The following is an 18695-nucleotide window of genomic DNA, read 5'->3' as shown; positions in this document are numbered from 1 at the left end:
CTCTGGATCCTGGTTAATGGATTCTATCATTATGAGTCAAGCTGGAGAAAGTCGTGATGTGAGGACCTCGAACTGCTCCGTAGTTGCCTGGCCCTTCTCCAGCACCCTCCACTCCCATCTCTGATTTCTCAGATCTTACAGGGGCTGGCTCCACGGTCAAGTCTGCAAAGTCTTCTAGCCTCGGAGGTGAGAGCTTATGCCAGCAGGCCCCTCTACCGTTCATTCCGTCTGTTCTTTCCTGTCTGACCAGTTTCTCTGATGGTGAAGCCAGAAGCAAAAATAGCAGGTGAATAATTTTGTTTCCTTTTGGTTCTCAGTTAACACAACACCTTTTACCCAAGCAAAGGGCCCACCCTCATTCTTTGTTCTTCCTGCTGCAGCTGTGGCTTCTCAAAAGCTCATAGAGGATTCTTAGTTCATGCTGGTGCTGCAGTCTCCTTGGTACTTTTTTTTTTTTTTTGAGATCGAGTCTCACTCTGTCGCCCAGGCTGGAGTGCGGTGGCGCGATCTCTGCTCACTGCAACCTCAGCCTCCCGGGTTCAAGAGATTCTTGTGCCTCAGCCTCCTGAGTAGCTGGGATTACAGGCGTGGCTAATTTTTGTATTTTTAGTAGAGACAGGGTTTCACCATGTTGGCCAGGCTGGTCTCGAACTTCAGACCTCAAGTGATCTGCCAGCCTTGGCTTCCCAAAGTGCTGGGATTATAGGTGTGAGCCACCATGCTCGGCCTGGCACTCTCTGTAGGGGGTTCTAGTCGCTCTGAAACACTTGCCTATGGTCCTGTGCCCCACTTGCCATCGAGGGTAGATGCAGTGCTATGTTGCCCAGATCCCTTTTGTGGAGGAGGCGCTTGTTCCCCCAGCCTCCAGGAATATCGGAGGCTGAAATGGCTCACAGCTGAGTCCCTTTCTAGGCTGTGCCCTTCCCAGAAGGCAGTTGCCTCGGTCAAGGCTCTGTGCCCTTGCCAGAGGCAGCCTGCATCAGCTGACTGGTGGTGCGGGGACAAGGGCCTGATATTAGCTATCACAACAATACATTAATAGGACCAGACACGCCAAGAAGTGGCAAGGCATTGGTGAGGCACACACACTGCAGAGGGTGAGAAACTCACCCTGTAGAGATTCAGGGACCTGCCACATCTGTGATATTTGAGGGGACCCTTGCAGTGGGGCATGCCAGGACATCCTCTTTAAAGGACCAATTATTGTATCTTGCCCCTCCCACCACTAGGAAGGAAGCATTGTGCTGTGGAGGCCTCAGGGTTCTGGAGGCAGCATGTTCCACGCCTAGGAATACTGACTGTTCCAATATGTTTATCAAACCACACAGGAGGCTGCTGGCACGGAGGGGCCCCAGGCAGGAAAGGGCCCTGCAGAAGGTATGGGCCGTGCAGCCTGCAGCCCTATGCACACCTCAGGACTGGTACATTACCCACCAGGGACGGCCTGTGAATCCAACCTGGGGAATGTGTGACTTCGCATATCCTTGAAGTGTCTGGGGTGGGAAAAGATGCTGGGTGGAGTTTATGGCAAATCCCAAGAGGAAAGTCACAACATAGATACGAGAGTTCTGGGGTCAGGCGGGGCCATCTGCAGCAGATAATTGTACTCTGTTTGAAAAAGCAGCTCCTGGGACGCTATGGGGTCCCGGCAGAGACAGAGCTTCTGACGAGGGACGCGAGGTGATGGTGCTGCCCAGAAGTGACCATCATGAGGCCTGAGACCCAGTAGGTCCTGAGATGGGGTCAGAGGGTGCATGTTGGCCACATGCAGGTGGCTCGGACTCCTGTCCCCTCTACCCCTGTCGCACCGTGTCTGTGTCTGCTCACATGATGACCATAAAGGGGGATGGGTAATTATGCCTAGCAGAAGTAGGAGGAAAGGCCGGCCTGGTTTCATGGCAAGGTTAGCATGGTATGTGGGCACACACCGAAAGTGGCCCGCTGCTGCACTTCAGCCCCAACCAGGGAGAAAGTGTCCCCACGGGCAGAGCTTTGGGCCGTGGGTCTGATCATCACCTTTATGTGGAAAGAAAAGCAGCCCAAGATCAGGCCAGCTGTGGGATCCCAGGCAGGGGTTAGTGACAAGCCTGGTGGTCAGGGGCCCTGGGGAAGGAAGACTGGAAGGTTAGGGACAAGGACGTTTGGGAAGAAGGATGGACCTGAGGGAGTAGCTGGAGCGTGGAGATTTCTGCATCCCATATTAACTCCCACTGAGAGCATGTATCATAGACAGCAGACAGCCAGGGAGACATGATGACACAGCCAGTGGATGTCAGCCAGCCTCTGCCACTGGTCACCTGTACATGGCACAGGGCTCATGAACACAGCAGCCGTGGTGGCAGGGATGGAGGCTGCGCGTGGGCCTGAAAGAAGGGGCTCCCACTCCCACGGCTGGGTAGCCACCACTGCTGTGGAATGTCCAACCTGCCTGCGACAGAGATCAATGCTGAGCCCCTGATATGACGGCATTCCCCGAGGAGACTGACCAGCCACCTGGTAGCAAGCTGATGACGTCGACTCTTGCACCACTCTGGAAGGGGCAGTGGTGCATCCTGGCTGGAGCTAACCTTTAGTTTAGGAGTGATTTGCTGTTCGTGTCCTGCAGGGCCTGTCAGGATTCCCAAGGTTTCACAGGTGTTTTCTCTCCTGGTAGAGGATCCTGTTAGGTGTTGAATTCTGTTCCTACAAAATTCATGTTCTGGGCCAGGCGCTGTGGCTCACGCCTGTAATCCCAGCACTTTGGGAGGCCAGGGCGGGCAGATCACTTGAGGTCAGGAGTTTGAGACCAGCCTGGCCAACATGGGGAAACCCTGTCTCTACTAAAAACACAAAAATTAGCCGGGCGTGGTGGAGGGCACCTGTAATCCCAGCTACTTGGGAGGCTGAGGCAGGAGAATCACTTGAACCCAGGAGGCGGAGCTTGCACTGAGCCGAAATCATGCCACTCCACTCCAGCCTGGGTGACAGAGTGAGACTCCGTCTCCAAAAAAAAAAGAAATTCATATGTCCTAATCCCTCTACCTCAGAATGTGACTGTATTTGGAGATAGGGTTGCTGCAGAGGGGATCAGTTAAGTTAGAATGAGGGTATAGTGGAGCAGGGTGAGCCCTCCTCCCGTGACTGGTGTCTGTATAAAGGAGGGGCAATGTGGACACAGACACTCACATAGGGAGAAGGCTTGTGAAGATCAAGGCAGAGACTGGGTGATGCCTCTAGAAGCCAAGGAACGCCAAAGATCGCCAGCAACCCTCAGAAGTTAGGGTAGAGGCCTGGGACAGATCCTCCCTCACAGCCTCCAAGGAAACCATCCTAGTGACACCTTGATTTTGGACGTCTGGCCTCGAGAACCGTGAGAGAATCAATTCCCGTTGTTACAGCTGCGCAACGAGTGCTACTTTGCTACAGCAGCCCCGACAAACTAGTAGAGACGCCGTATCACATGGTGCCAGACCAATGGGCCCACTGACAGTGAAGGCGGGACCCCCCTGGTCGTATCCCACCCTGCACCACCCAGCAGCTGCCAGACTGGAAGAAGGACGGAGCGGCCTGTTGAAAGTGCAGGGGAGGCGCCAGCTTGGAGATGACACCTGGTGAGGGCAAGGCATTGTCCTCCAGCCCCTGGCATGCACCCAAGACCAACAATCATGTGGGGCTGTGTCCCCAGCAGGTGGAACACCTGCGTCAGGAAGCAAGCGCAGGGCAGGAGTGGCCCTGTTCACCCTCATCATGCCCAGTGACCTACTGGGGAAACCGCTGCTCCCTGGCCTTGTGATTTGAGGCTCTGTGGGTCTAGGGCAGGGCCAGCAAACAAAGGCCCACGGGGCAGATCCGGCCTACCACTTGTTTTTTCACATGGCTTTCGGATTTTTAAATGATTATATTTAAGTGGTTATATAAGTGACTACATAATTTTGATTTTTATTTCTTGCCAACAGAACCTCAAATATATATATATAAATTTTAAAATTTTTTAAATTTTGAGATGGAGTCTCGCTCTGTTGCTCAGGGTGGAGTGCAGTGGTGTGAGGGATCACTGCAACTTCCACCTCCCGAGTTCAAGCGATTCTCCTGCCTCAGTCTCCCGAGTAGCTGGGATTACAGGCATGCGCCAGCATGCCGGGTTAATTTTTGTATTTTTGTATTTTTTTTTTTTGAGACGGAGTCTCGCTCTGTTGCCCAGGTTAGAGTGCAGTGGCGCGATCTTGGCTCACTGCCAGCTCCGCCTCCCGGGTTCACGCCATTCTCCTGCCTCAGCCTCCCGAGGAGCTGGGACTACAGGCGCCCGCCACCACGCCTGGCTAATTTTTTGTATTTTTAGTAGAGACGGGGTTTCACCATGTTAGCCAGGATGGTCTCGATCTCCTGACCTTAGGTGATCCACCCACTTCAGCCTCCCAAAGTGCTAGGCTTACAGGCATAAGCCACTGTGCCTGGCCTTCTAAAATATTTTTTACCTGGCCCTTTAAGAAAAAGTTTGCTGACACCTGGTCTAGAAGGTTCCCAGAGTGGGAGCATTTCTACCAGGGGACATGAAACAAGGCCCGATAAACTTTAAGCCACCTCCTCAGGCCAAGAGACTGGCAGGCAAGAGAGAAGTCACCACTGTATCACAGTGGGTACCCGCCAGAGTCACTGGGCACCTCCTGGGACTCCCCTGCCCGATTTTGACAGCAAATTGACAAGTGCAGGGACAGGCCATTGCCTGAGATGGGCTTGGGGACCGGAGGCTCAGTGCTTTCTGGGATGAGGGCTGGGTCACCCAATCAGGTCAGCAGCCCCTACAGCACAGGCTCCTCCCGGGAGAGGAGAGCGGGCCCTCAGGGCAGCGGAGGAAGGAGCCAGCCCACAAGCATTCCTTTGTGGTCCCGACACCAGCAGCAGCGGTGGGGGCTGGAGTGCATTCCACTCATCTTCCTCCTGTAACCCTCCCCAGGAAACGAGATCAACTCAGATCCTGGAGGAGCTGCTTCCAGTAGATCCAAGTGGTCCCAGGGGTGACTGTAATGGAGGCTGTGGTGCCTTCAGGAATGAGGCACTCGTGCTCCTAGCTCCTGGCTGCTGCTGTCTCACCTCTCACCCTAGCTTAGGGCCCCTTCCTGGGAGTAGCCCACATCCAGCGCATGGCCAATGTGGAGTTCACACGCCCATCCCTCTTGCCTCAGCTTAGGACATCTCTAAAGGGCCACCCCAGCTCGAGAGGCCACATGGGATTGGCTGAGGCCTCTGTTGTGGCTGTGTGACAGCTCAACCTCTCTCTGCCACATCTGGCTACCTTCACTCCTTTAGGGTATTATTCCCAAGGATGTTCCCCATCAAGCCTTTTGAATACAAATCTCTATCTTAGAGTCTGCTTCCTGGGAAATGAGACCAAAGATAGTTCCTTTGGGTCCGGGCTTGGAATCTTTTCATTCTCTAGTGTCAGTGACTATCCAGAGTTTCATTTCTTAGGGCTTCTTCAGTCCTGTTATCATTAGTCAGGTGCATTGTTTCTTCTTCCTAACCCTTTTACAAATAGCCTTCCTAAAGTCCAGGAAACACTACCCAGAATTTCAATCGCTCTCGTATATTCCAAAACTGGAAATGTTCCTTTCTTTCCTCCCATTCTCTCCCTCTGGTGATTTCCTGGCATTTAGCCTCCAGTTTTCTCTTTCTTCCACACTGAGCTCTGTTTTTCCCCTCCTGCCCTAGAACCATCACCTTTGCTCCTCAGGGACCTGGGGCTTTGGGCAGTGAAGGCTGGAGAAGGAGCGATGCCCTAGGTGCAGAGAGGGATACTGGACAACCCCGCGCCCCTTTCCTCGGGGCTGTTCCTTCACCTGACATGGTTACAAGAGAATGGACCAGCACACAAGAGGCGTGTCTGTGTGTGTGTGTGTGTGTGTGTGCGCGCGCGCGTGTGTGTTTTCCTGGAAAACATGTTGTCTGGAATTGGGCAGCCCTAACTAGAAAGGAAAGCTCTTTCCGATCAAGGTTTTCAAATCCACATCTCACTCCATCCTACCTACCTCTTTCAGGTGCTGTGGAAGAGAATTCCTAGGGGAGAAGGCGTACTTTGTCTTCTTGTAAACGCACCACAGCAAGGCGAAGCAGCCGAGGAGTGCCAGGCAGACCATGAAGACCGAGGCCATGAGGATGACGGCCACCATCCAGGAGGGGACCGTTTCTGCCAGGGGTAATGGGCATGTTACATTCTTGTCACAGGTCGGGTCACAGTGATCCCAAGAGCATTTTAACCATCACAATCCCTGAAAACAGAGCCTGTACGTTTATCTTGGGGGACGTCTCAGAAACAGCAACTGGTTGGAGGACCCAGAGGTTTTTGAAGAGTTTCACCCTTTTCCTATCTTCTCCAAAGTTTGGTTTCTGGAATTATTGCTGACATACATCAAAAGAATAACAAGCAAGAATTCTGATCCACTGTACCTACTACTGGCAGTGTAGCAATGGGCCTCCCAGGTCTGGATATACCACTTCTGCCTTGACACAGCAAGTGATACTCCCCTGGACACCTGAGCCTGAGTTAAACACAGGCACCATCTCGTTCTATATTGAGAAAAACAGAAACTCTGCGTGAACAACTCTATCCAAACCCCTGCACTAAGCCAGGTGTGGTGGCTCACACCTGTAACCCCAGCACTTTGGGAGGCCGAGGTGGGAGGATCACTTGAGCCCAGGAGTTTGAGACCAGTCTGGGCAACATAGTGAGACCCCTTCTCTACAACAAAAAAAATTTTTTAAAAATTAGCTGGGTATGATGGCAGACACCTGTAGTCCCAGCAATTTGAAAGGCTGAGGTGGGAGGGTCGCTTGAGCCTGGGAGGTCGAGGCTGTGATAGTGAGCTATGATTGTACCACTGCACTCCAAACTGGGCGACAGAGTGAAACCCCGCCTCAAAAACCAAAACCAAAGCCAAAACAAACAAACCCCTGCACTAAGAGACTTGGCCAAACCCCAGCATAGCTTCTAGCAGGCCAAGGCCACACCCTTGAATTCCTGTCTGGAAAAACCCAAGGCTGCCTAAGGAACTTACCATTTGTTCTTCCCAGCCCCTGATGCGAGGCCTTGACCTCTCTTTCGGAGAGCATTTATTAAAAAGGGCTTATAGTGGTGAATCCTTCCTCTGTCCCTTTGAGACATGTATGTATCTCCCACAACGCAGGGATATTTTTCTCAATGATCTGCGAGCCATTCTTTTGAAATCATCAGGAAGTACAGGGCCTCTGTCTCCCTGTCTCTGTGGGAGGGTAGAAGCCTAGCCTTGATAAACACCGGTTCACAGACACAGAGGGCCTCACGGCACTGACCCATCCCCTTAGCTGATTTAAAATTTTTTTCACTTCCCTGATTCTGCTCAACTCCCCACGCATTCTTTCTTTCTACTCCCTCATTCTCCTTTTATTTATTTTCATTTTTGAGATAGAGTCTTGTTCTGTTGTCCAGGCTGGAGTACAGTAGTGCAAACACAGCTCACTGCAGCCTTGACTTCCAGGACTCAAGTGATCCTCCCACCTCAGCCTCCTGGGTAGCTGGGACGACAGGCATGTGTCACCATGCCCAGCTAATTTTTAAAATATTTTATAGAGATGGGGGTCCCACTATTTTGGCCAGGCTGGTCTCGAACTCCTGGGTTCAAGCGATCCTCCTGCCCCGGCCCTCGTTCTCCCTTTAAAACACCTCTGAGTAAATGGAACTCGGCCCTTTTCCCAACTCCAGTCATTACTGAATAAAATGTTTTGACTGCTTTAATTAGCGTCCTGCTTTGCTTATCTTTGACAGAGTCCAGGATGTCACCTGGGTTGCTCGTGGTCCCAGCTCCCCTTGTTCGGCTCCAGGTCCCTCCTCCAGCTGCCCTGGCCACCTGATTTCTCTGTGCCCATCCCCTGCCAACCAGCACCGCCCTCACGAGCACAGCATTTGGCTCTGAGAGGGGCCAAGAGAACAAACACTGCCCATGAAGATCATGTCGTTTTAAAGGGACACAGGGATCAAAGAGCCCTGACACAGCACATGACCCTGGAGCTACAGCAAGTGCAGTCACCTGCTGGCACGACATGGTGCTTGTCACAGTGCGTGGCTCACAGTGCACACTCCTTAAACGTCTGAGGGATGGAAGTGGCATCTGTATGAGGGAAGCGGCTGGAAGGACCTGAGCACTTGTGCCGCCCCCAACCCCATGGCCCTCGTTCTCTTGTGCTTTCATTCCCGCAGGCGGCCTCCCATCTCCCCAGCTCCTGTCCTTGCGGGTTTCAGCACTCCTTATCCCAGTTCTTGGTTCTTGTTTGTTTCATGCACCGGAGCCCAGAAGCGGTGCCGTCTGGCCCACACTTCCAGCATGTTCAGCTCAAACATGTGAGTCTGCTCTTGGTGATTCCAGGGTCATACGGCAGTGAGCTGGCTGGAGCGGCCCCCAGTCCACACCACAGCTGGACACGTGAGGTCTCCTTGGGATTTGACATCCCAGGTCTTGAGAAAGTTCCAGGCTCCTACTCATCCATCCATCCTTCCATTAATATTTCGGTAGTTCTCTAATTTGGCGCCCGGAGACTCATTCAAACAGGGATCCATGGGCCCCGCCCTGTTATTTTATTTTGGGTAATGAACCTCTGGGGCAGTGCTTGGGTCTCCTGGTGTCTCAAACTGGGGCATCTTAGCATCTTAAACAAGGACACATCTGGGTGATGGTGACATGATTCAAGGAATGCTTTTGTTACTCACCCCAGATGGAGAGTTCCACAGGGGGCAGGAGAGAGGACCCTGCTCTGCATAGGTTGTGAACTGTGGGAGAATCTACTAATCTACATCCTCCGTGTAAAGTTCTCTAACTTGTTTCAGATTCATCTGACCACACCATGAGGCAGACTACTCTTTCCTGTTTTATCCACAAGGACACGGTGCCTCAGTTTACCTATGGAATTAATCTATAGGTAGTAAGTTACAGGAAACATAACCTGGGCTTAGATGAATGAGCCTGTGTTCTGGTTGATCCTTTTCATTTACTAGCATTTGGGCAAGTTACTTAACCTCTCTGTTTTAGGCTGTTTTTGCACTGCTATAAAGAAATAACTAAAACTGGATGGCTGGGCATGGTGGCTCATACCTGTAACCCCAGCACTTTGGGAGGCTGAGGTGGGTGGATCACTTGAGGTCAGGAGTTCGAGACCAGCCTGGCCAATATGGCGAAACCCCACTCTCTACTAAAAATAAAAAAATTAGCTGGGTGTGGTGGTGGGCACTGTAATCCCAGCTATTCAGGAGGCTGAGGCAGTAGAATTGCTTGAACCCAGGAGGCGGAGGTTGTGCCAAGATCGAGCCACTGCACTCCAGCCTAGGCAACAGAGTGAGACTCCATCCAAAAAACAAATAAACAAATAACTAAAACTGGGTAATTTATAAAGAAAAGAGGATGAATTAGCTCATGAATCTGCAGGCTGTACAGGAAGCATAGCGGTATCTGTTTCTGGGGAAGCCTCTAGAAGCTCCCAATCATGGTGGAAAGCTAAGTGGGGGCAAGAGAGAGCAAGATGCCACATACTTTTAAACCGCCAGGTCTCTCAGGAAGTCACTCACTCTCGGGAGGACAGCACCAAGGGGATGGTGATAAGCCATTCATGAGAAATGGGCCCCCATGATCCCGTCACCTCCCACCAGGCGCCACCTCCAGCACTGGGGATTACATTTCAGCGTGAGATCTGGATGAGGGCAACATCCAAAGTGCATCACTCTCTGAACCTTCATGTTCTAGTTTGTAAAATGGGAGAAGATCCTTCTAATGCTCTCATTGAAAACTTGTGGGATTTAAATGGGATAGGTGTGTTTTAAGAAAAAATGAAAATGGTGTTTGATGAAAGCAGGTTTTCAATGGCTCATACCCTTTTGTTTTGTAAAATGTTTGGATTTTGTCAGTTCATGGGTGATTACTGGTATTTGCAAGCTATTTGAAATGTTTTCTTTTCTTTTTTTTTTTTTTTTGAGGCAGGGTCTCACTCTTATTGCTTAGGCTGGAGTGCAGTGGCATGACCTCAGCTCACTGCAGCCTCTGCCTCCTGGGTTCAAACGATTCTCCCACCTCAGCCTCCCAAGTAGCTGGGATTACAGGTGTGCGCCACCACACCTGGCTAAATTTTGCATTTTTGGTAGAGACAGGGTTTTGCCATTTTGGCCAGGCTGGTCTCAAACTCCTGACCTCAGGTGATCCGCCCGCCTCGGCCTCTCAAAGTGTTAGGATTACAGGCGTGAGCCACCACGTCCGGCAGACATGTTTTTCTTTTTGATCAAACTGCATGCCGCATGCCATGTTTCATCCTTCCATTGTCTGAGCTTGCTGAACCCTTCACCAACATCTTTAAATTATAGGAAGGCCTGCTGTTTGTATGCAGACACCTGGGCCTCAGTTTTCACCAACATGCAACTGCAATGTGTCTGCACATAAATATGCAGTGTTTAGGCCCATGGGAACCTTCTCTCTTTCCTTCTCCCGTTCCTTCCTCCAAGCTAGAAGTGATCCATATGGTGTGTGAAGGACTGTGTTGACATCCTGGATTCCTGCATATAAGGGGCCCTGAATCAGGCAGCACTGGCTGAGGACCGTGGTCAGATTTCCTGACACTTGCTTCCCATCACATGTCGGCAGTGGCTGGAGATGTGCCGCCTGGGGAGGAAAGACCTTTGGGGTATGTGACAGGGCTTGAGCTCTGCTGGTGGTCTTGGGAGGACTGATGAGCCTTGCTTTAGGGAGCCTGGGATGGTAGAATAAGTACTGCCAAGGGGGGCTCATGGAGGCAGACCTCGCTCCACCAGACAGAAAAGGTTTCTAGCAACTCCTTTGATCTAAGAGTGAATGAGCTGCCTCAGAAGCGGGTGTGGTCTCCTTCCTAGCATGAAGCTGAGCAGTCAGGGCTGAGAGATAATGTCAGGGCGATAGATTTCTGAACTGAGCTGGAATTTGAGTTGGATGCAATCATGTCTAGGGCAGGTGTCTATAAAGCTGTTTAGGATGCTTAGCGGAGGTGCATCTCAGGGCTTACCGTCATGGGTTGTTTGCTCACAGACAGGCTCACTCCATTCCCCAGCTTTGTTCCGATCAGGAAGAAACCCTCGAACTTGAACACAATAAGTTGTCCATGGCTCCAGGTTTCTGAGGACCTCAAAGTCATACTGGGGAGTAATTTGAAACTAGTAATGGAGACAAAAATAAGAACATGACTAAGCAGTGGAAGGGCACCACCTTTTTTTTTTTCACATTTATCAGTGATAATAGCCGTTTTAGACTTAAAATAGGAAGGAGCAGGTAGCAGGTGCTCCTCTCAGTTCAGGGACCCTGAGGCCACTCAGGGGGTGCATCAAGGACTGACAGTGGTGCCCACAAACCATTTTGGTTCCTGAATTCTCCAGCTTAAATGACACACAAGCCATCACTTCTTTTTTAAAAAAGATAAAGCAGGCCGGGTGTGTTGGCTCGTGCCTGTAATCACAGCACTTTGGGGGACTGAGGAGTTTGAGACCAGCCTAGTCAACATGGCAAAACCCCATCTCTACTAAATATACAAAAAATTAGCCGGGCGTGGTGGCGCACGAGAATCGCTTGAACTTGGGAGGTGGAAGTTGCAGTGAGCCAGGATCACCCCACACTGCACTCCAGCCTCGGTGACAGAGCGAGACTTTGTCTCAGAAATAAAGAAAAAAGTAAATAAATAAATAAAATAAACTGGTCTTTTAATTATTATTTTTTTTGAGATGGAGTTTCACTCTTGTCGTCCAGGCTGGAGTGCAGTGGCACGATCATGGCTCACTGCAACCTCCGTTGCCAGGCTCAAGCAATTCTCCTGCCTCAGCCTCCCGAGTAGCTGAGAATACAGGTGCACACTACCACACTCAGCTAATTTTTTTTTGTATTTTTGTAGAGACGGGGTTTTGCCATGTTGGCCAGGCTTGTCTTGAACTCCTGACCTCAGGTGATCTGCCCACCTTGGCCTCTCAAAGTGCTGGGATTACAGGTGTGAGCCACCACACCCAGTCGCAATTGGTTAGTTCTTTTTTGGGGTTGGGGTCGTTGACAGCATGCCTATATGCCTCTACTGCATGAGGAGCTAAGCCCATGGAGGTCAATAATTGGATTAGACTTATGGAATATATGAAGAAAATGGTTTAACTTCTAATAAGTAAATTAAAAGACCAAAAGCAAATCAAAGCAACAACTGAAAAAAATGGCGGGCTTGCAGTTCCAGAAGTCCAGTGCCTCTAAAACCTTACAATGCAAATTTTTTCAAAGATTAAACTCAGAGGCAAGCAGGTAAGGTGGTGGCATAGTAGTAGAGGGACCTTCTCAATCCCTGCTGGGGCTTTTTCTGCCCTTTCACGTCTGGGCAACTTCTGGTTTTATCTTCTCACTTTCTCCCAACAGGAAGAAAGAATTCTCAAAAGCCCTTCATGCTGTGAGTTTAGGGACCTAGTCTGGCACCGCCTCAGGAATCTCTACATTCTAGAGGGGAACCATATAAGCCTGTATTGATAGAAAAATTAGCGGGGTGTGGTGGCAGATGCCTGTAATCACAGCTACTTGGGAGGCTGAGGCAGGAGAATTGCTTGAACCCAGGAGGCGGAGGTTGCAGTAAGCTGAGATCGCACCGCTGCTTTCCAGCCTGGGCAACGACAGACTGTGACTCTGCCTCAAAAAAACCCCCAAAAAACCTGTATTGGTGGCATCACAGGCACCTGTGAGAGGAGCAGTGCAGCAGGCAGCCTTTCCACACTCGGTAAGTCACACAGAAGGTTGCCACACAACTGGCCGAAGAGAGAGGACAAATGTGTAACCAGATGCCCATGTTGTGGGCATGTGTGAGAAAAGAAGCTAAACAGTAAGTGGAGTTTGCATTCACACTTGCCTCAGGAGGCACCTGACCCTGCTCACTGTAAAACTAGATCCTTAATTGAGGTCTGTTGCTAGCTCCCGGAGGGGAGCAATCTGCTCTTATCTTTATACCCCAGGGCTTAGCAGAGATGCCTGCATTTGATCAGTGATTGTGAGTATCAGAATTCATATGCTGAAACTTAACTGTCACTATGATAGGACTCAGAGGTGGAGGTTTTCAGAAGTGATTAAATAATGAGGGCAGAGCCTTCCTGAATGCCATTGGTGACCTTAGAAAAGAGCAGCAAGGGAGCTGTTTACATCCTTGCCCTTTGCCTTCCACCATCTAGGAGGCAGAGCACGCCAGTGCTCACCAGACACTGAATCTGCTGGTGCCTTGATCTTGGACTTCCCAGCCTGCAGAACTGTGAGAAATAAATTTCTAGTGTTTATAAGTTACCTAGTCTGTGGTATTTTGTTGTGGCAGCAGGAAAGGACTAAGACACTGCATCATTTAATGGAACATTTTTTGGGGAAAAAAATTAACTTGAGATTTTTTGGGCTATGCAGTGTGTGTATATAAATTTAACTACATCATTCCTAAGATAATAAACATGGGTGATCCCTTCTTCCCAAACACTTTGAGAATTAAGTGGTAAAATCAACATTTAATGTGGAAGGGATAACATATATGTAATATGACATACATAACATATATATGTCAGTTTAGGACCATGAATGGCATTCAGCTCAGAAGCATTAGGTGTCAGAATAAACCTTGACCAAGGATGAATAAAAATAACCTTAACATGTCTAGCAAAGAGGAAGGAAACCTCATGTACTGATGTACTGACCATATATACATCATTCCAGGCAATGGGATGAGTTTATATTTTCTATTATTTCATTAAATTCCCCAACAATCTTACGAAGTAGGTTATTATCCTTGTTTTATTAATAAAGTAAGTTATTATGCCCATTTTGCAGACTTGAGGAGGCTGGGGTCAAGAAAGTGACCAATGGCACATGGTGGCACGGGTGATATTCCGATCAGATCTTTTGACTCCAAGCCCATGTTTTTAAAGAAATTGTCCCCTGAAGAATAGAGCAACAAGGGGCTGTCTTGACCACGGACGTCCCTGATTTGCGGTGTGTGTGGGACACAGGGGTTGATGTCATGGGACAGTTGTCAATTTGCTGATCACCTAATTCAGCCAGCTCCAAGTTCCCTTAGCTAACTCTGACTCAACTGTGCCTTCCCCTGCAGCTGCCCTTCAGGGAGGGAAAGGTCTGCTGTCACTGTGCAGACTTTGTCCTGAAAGTCTGCTCTACACATATCCCTTAGGAGTCTGGGAAGCTTGAGCCAGAGATACCAGTAACCCCTCAGTCTGGGAAGCTCTTGGCTTACAGAGGACCAGTCCATAAGGTGCTGCCACCTTGCAAGATTCTGCAAAGAATATGAAAGCCTACTACCTCTGAAATGCAATTAGCCAACCTTACCTTTTCATCAGTACCGTTTTTCCAGTATTGCACATTATAAGTCCATGAGTTATACACATTCTTCATAGTCCAAGTTTCGTATTCATTCTCAATTTTAGGGGCTAAGAAACGCATATGTAAAGAATCAGCAAGTACTTCTACTTGCATTCCAGGGGGTCCAATAATGGCTAAGCAGAAGAACAAGCAAAATGACAATCAAAAATCACATTTTAAAAACTTCAACATTAATTTTTCATAACCATGCAGAACAATTAGTCCACGGAAGTACACTGCTTTGATATACTATTGTCATGACATTGATTGACATGGCTAAGAAGGGTAGTTGGATTTAGTTTCTTTTAAAAAATCTGATAATCTTTGTCTTTCTTAATGAAGTTTAGTCCACTTATGTTTATTGTGGTTTCTGATACATTTGGAATTATTCCAGCTACGCTATTTTGTATTTTCTATAAGGATTTCTTTTTAAATTTCTATTTTATGTTTTTGGTGTCTTCTCCTCTTTTATTCCTGCTTTTTGTTGGCTTGAATTTTATTTCCTTTTTCAGGATGGAAGCTACAGATGGCATCTCTATTATTTTTAGTGGCCACCTTTACATGTTTAACATATATAATTAACCATATATATTTCCAACAATGTCTAAAGCTGTTTCCCTTCTGAATGCTCTTTTACTAGATATTCATGTGGCTGGCTCCTTCACTTCATATGGGTCTCTGCTCAAATGCTACTTCCTCAGAGAGACTGTATCTTACCATTCTATGTAGAAGTGCAGCTCCCATTACTTTCTGTCCTATTGCCTTGCTTCAGTCTTCTTAAGAACCATAGTCACTACCTGTCATGTAATATGTATCTATTTATTTATTATCTGTATTCCTGATTAGCACATATATGCTCCATGAGGTATTTTGTCTCGTTCATTGTTGTAGCTTCAGTGCTCAGAATGCAGCTGTTACACAGATGTACTCAATAATAACTATAGAATGATTCATAAATGGTTCCAGGCAATCATGGTGTTTGAGTTATGTCCTGTATTCTTCTTTGGCTGCTGTTACTTTTTCAGGGCTGTTAATGGACCTGCTTCCATCATTCTAAAGTGCTCGTCTGAAAACCAGACAAGAAAACTTGTTGGAATACTTTGCCAAAGCAAGTATAAATAGGTTATGCATGATGCCTGGAAACACTTTCCTATCACTAAAATACATAGACTTCAAGAGGCAAATCTCCAATATTGGGTAGTAGTTGCTAAGAGCACAGAAGCAAGAGCCTGGGTCTGAATCCTTGCTCAGCCACTCATGACCTGTATGACTTTTTGACAAGCTGCTTAACCGTGTTGTACCTAGGCTCTAAAGGGAACTTCCATGGATGGGAGCTAACAGGATTTGGGACAAGTTAGGACCTGGTAAGCCAGTTAGCAATTATAGGAGCAAAAACTTGTACTTTTAACTATTGTGAAACTTACTTTTCTGTTCATCTTTCCTTTGTTTTTGTAAAGGTACCATTAGAAAATATAATCTAACTTTGATAATTTATGATTCCAAAAGTAAGACGTTTTTACCCAGGCTTGGGATGGAATTGGGAAAGGGAAGAAAGGCATCCTAGCATCATTCTCTACCAGGGAGGATGTAACTGTAGGGGTCATGGGGGTCCAGAGCAGGGACCGGCATAAAGACCACTCCCCATATAGAGACACTTCTTTTTTTGAGATAAGACTTCACTCTGGTCACCCAGGCTGCTGGAGTGCAGTGGTGTGATAATGGCTCACTGCAGCCTTGACTTCCCAGGCTCAGATGACTCTCCCACCTCAGCCTCCCAAGTAGCTGGGACTACAAGCACACTCCACCATGCCTGGCTAATTTTTTTTTTTTTTTTTTTTTGGTATTTTTTTTGTTTTTTGTAGAGACAGGGTTTCACCATGTTGCCCAGGCTGGTCTTAAATTCCTGGGCTCAAGGACAAGTGTGGTGGTTCATGTCTGTAATCCCAGCACTTTGGGAGGCTGAGGCAGGTGGATCACTTAAGGTCAGGAGTTCAAGACCAGCCTGGCCAACATGGTGAGACCCCGTCTCTACTAAAAATACAAAAAAATTTAGCTGGGCATAGTGACAGGCACTTGAAGTCCCAGCTACTCAGGAGGCTGAGGCACGAGAATCATTTGAACCCTGGAGGCAGTTTGCAGTGATCTGAGATCGCGCCACTGCACTTCAGCCTGGGTGTCAGAGTGAGACTTTGTCTCAAAAAAAAAAAAAAAAAAAAAGAAAGAAAGAAAGAAAAAAAGAAAATTCCTGGGCTCAAGTGATCCACCACCTCAGCCTCCCAAAGTGTTGGGATCATAGACGTGAGCCACCATGCCTAGCCAGAGACAATTCTTTTAGTGCTTTTCTCTATGTGAGTTTTGAAGGGCTGTATGTGAATTTTGTGAATTAGGTTCTTTTAACCTCTAATCTTCTTTACTCTCTCAATTGCTAATATATGGTTTAATTAGTTTTCAATTCCTGATATTCTAAATATGCTCATCTCATATTTAGGGGACTCTGGTGGTCACCATGACCCTCCAAATCTAACCTGGGAACAATATTTTTTTTTTTTTTGAGACCAAGTCTCACTCTATTGCCCAGGCTGGAGTGCAGTGGCGTGATCTCGGCTCACTGCAATCTCCACCTAACCTGGGAACAATTTTTGATGCTGACCAACCAGTCTGACCCAACCCACCTGCCATCAGCCCTATCCCTCCCTCTGTCCTTCGCTCTGGGCAAGCCGGCTGTCCGCATCATATTTTCCATCTCTACATCTGCCTTCATTCTTTTGCCTATCACGTTATGTTTCTTTGTTTAAGTCATAATTCCATACTGACTTTCTCCCAGAAAATTCACCACAAGAATCCTTCCAGAACTTCTCCTCAACAGCACGGGCCCCAACATAGTCACATCCTTGAGGCACTGAAGGTGTTAGATTTATATTTAATTGTTGCATTGATGATATGCCTATCTTTTTCTGTCTCTCCCATGAATTCTTTAGGGATACAACTCTCTTTATTATATTCCTTAAGCTCCTTGTGCAAGGCCATCCATTTGTGGGCCCTCAAAGAATTCTTGTTGATGGACCAACCAATGTGGAAAAAAACAAGGCAAGATGATGACATTACAAAAAAAGGGAAAACAAAATGGCTTACTGTCATCCACAGGACAGAAGGTGATGTTTACCCAGTCTGAATGCTCATCTGCAAATTCAGCCCTGACTCTCAAGGTGTGGTCACCATACTTGGAAAGACTTGAGAAATCACATTCCGTCAAGGTAGTATTCATGCATTTATCTTGGAATATCCTATAACTACACAATCAAAAAGATAGGTCAATCAGGAGAGTTCTGGCTTCAGTCTCCCTGAGGCTGACTGGTACTTAATTTGGAGGGGGGGGCGGCGCGGGAGTGGAAACTGTGTTAAACATAGAAATACGTGTCTTCAAAACAGAACTTCTCAGAGACTTGAACATCTTAATGACTACGTGCCTCTCCAAGGGGTTGAGTATTCAGCATACTTGACCAAGAAAGCTTGCTTCCTTGATTACGTATTTTTGAAAACAGGGGCATGTGATTTATGAGACATTGATTTACAAAAATTTACCAAAATAAAGATATTACAATGATTTTCAATAAAGTCATGTGCTGCATAATGACATTTCGGTAGATGACAGACCACATATACAACGTTGATGCCCTAAGATAATGATACTGTATTTTTACTGTACCTTTTCTATGTTTAAATACATTTAGATGTAGACATACCTCATTTTATTGTGATTTGCTTTACTGTACTTCACAGATATTGCATTTTACAAATCGAAGGTCTGCAGCAACCCTGCATTGAGCAAGTCTATTGGTGCCATTTTTCCAACAGCACATGCTCACTTCATGTCTTTATGTCACATTTTGGTAATTCTCGCAATATTTCAAAACTTTTCATCATGATTATATGTGTTATGGTGATCTGTGATCAGTGATCTTTGATGTTACTGTTGTAATTGTTTTGGGGTACCATGAACCACACCTATATAAGACAGTGAAATTAATCAATAGATGTTGTGAGTGTTCTGACTTCTCCACCCACTGTCCACTCTCCTGCCTCTCTCCTTCTCCTCGGGCATCCCTATTCCAAAAGCTGCAAAGGATTAAGCTTAGTGAGGAAGGCATATTGCAGGCCACAACAGGCCCCTTGGGCCAAACAGTTAGCCAAGTTGTGAATGCAAAGGAAAAGTTGTTGAAGGAAATTTAAAGTGCTACTCCAGTGAACACATTAATAATAAGAAAGTAAAACAGCCTTATTGAAAATATGCAGAAAGTCTCAGTGGTCTGGATA

The 18695-nt window shown here is 47.6% G+C and overlaps 2 protein-coding genes across 6 annotated transcripts in view; both read right to left on the bottom strand.

Annotated features, from left to right (window-relative positions):
* The window catches only part of IFNAR2-IL10RB (IFNAR2-IL10RB readthrough), a 67284-nt gene that overhangs the window by 2955 nt on the left and 45634 nt on the right, over positions 1–18695 (bottom strand). Inside the window, exons 9-12 of the mRNA NM_001414505.1 lie at positions 17514–17671; positions 14349–14515; positions 11026–11173; positions 6006–6163 (exon numbers count right to left, since the gene is read on the bottom strand). Of these exons, the coding sequence (NP_001401434.1) occupies positions 6006–6163; positions 11026–11173; positions 14349–14515; positions 17514–17671 (631 nt within the window). The remainder of the gene's footprint in view (positions 1–6005; positions 6164–11025; positions 11174–14348; positions 14516–17513; positions 17672–18695) is intronic.
* The window catches only part of IL10RB (interleukin 10 receptor subunit beta), a 43816-nt gene that overhangs the window by 15916 nt on the left and 9205 nt on the right, over positions 1–18695 (bottom strand). For 3 of the 5 annotated variants that reach the window (NM_001405849.1, NM_001405850.1, NM_000628.5), the window contains exons 3-6: positions 17514–17671; positions 14349–14515; positions 11026–11173; positions 6006–6163 (exon numbers count right to left, since the gene is read on the bottom strand). In NM_001405849.1, coding sequence (NP_001392778.1) covers positions 6006–6163; positions 11026–11173; positions 14349–14515; positions 17514–17671 — 631 coding nt within the window. The remainder of the gene's footprint in view (positions 1–6005; positions 6164–11025; positions 11174–14348; positions 14516–17513; positions 17672–18695) is intronic. The other 2 variants (NR_175973.1, NM_001406840.1) reach the window with 2 other exon arrangements.

This window comes from Homo sapiens, chromosome 21, assembly GCF_000001405.40.
Source record: "Homo sapiens chromosome 21, GRCh38.p14 Primary Assembly".
NCBI lineage: Eukaryota > Metazoa > Chordata > Mammalia > Primates > Hominidae > Homo > Homo sapiens.
Note: the sequence above shows the minus strand (reverse complement) of the source record. Positions and strands in the feature narration are given on the sequence as shown.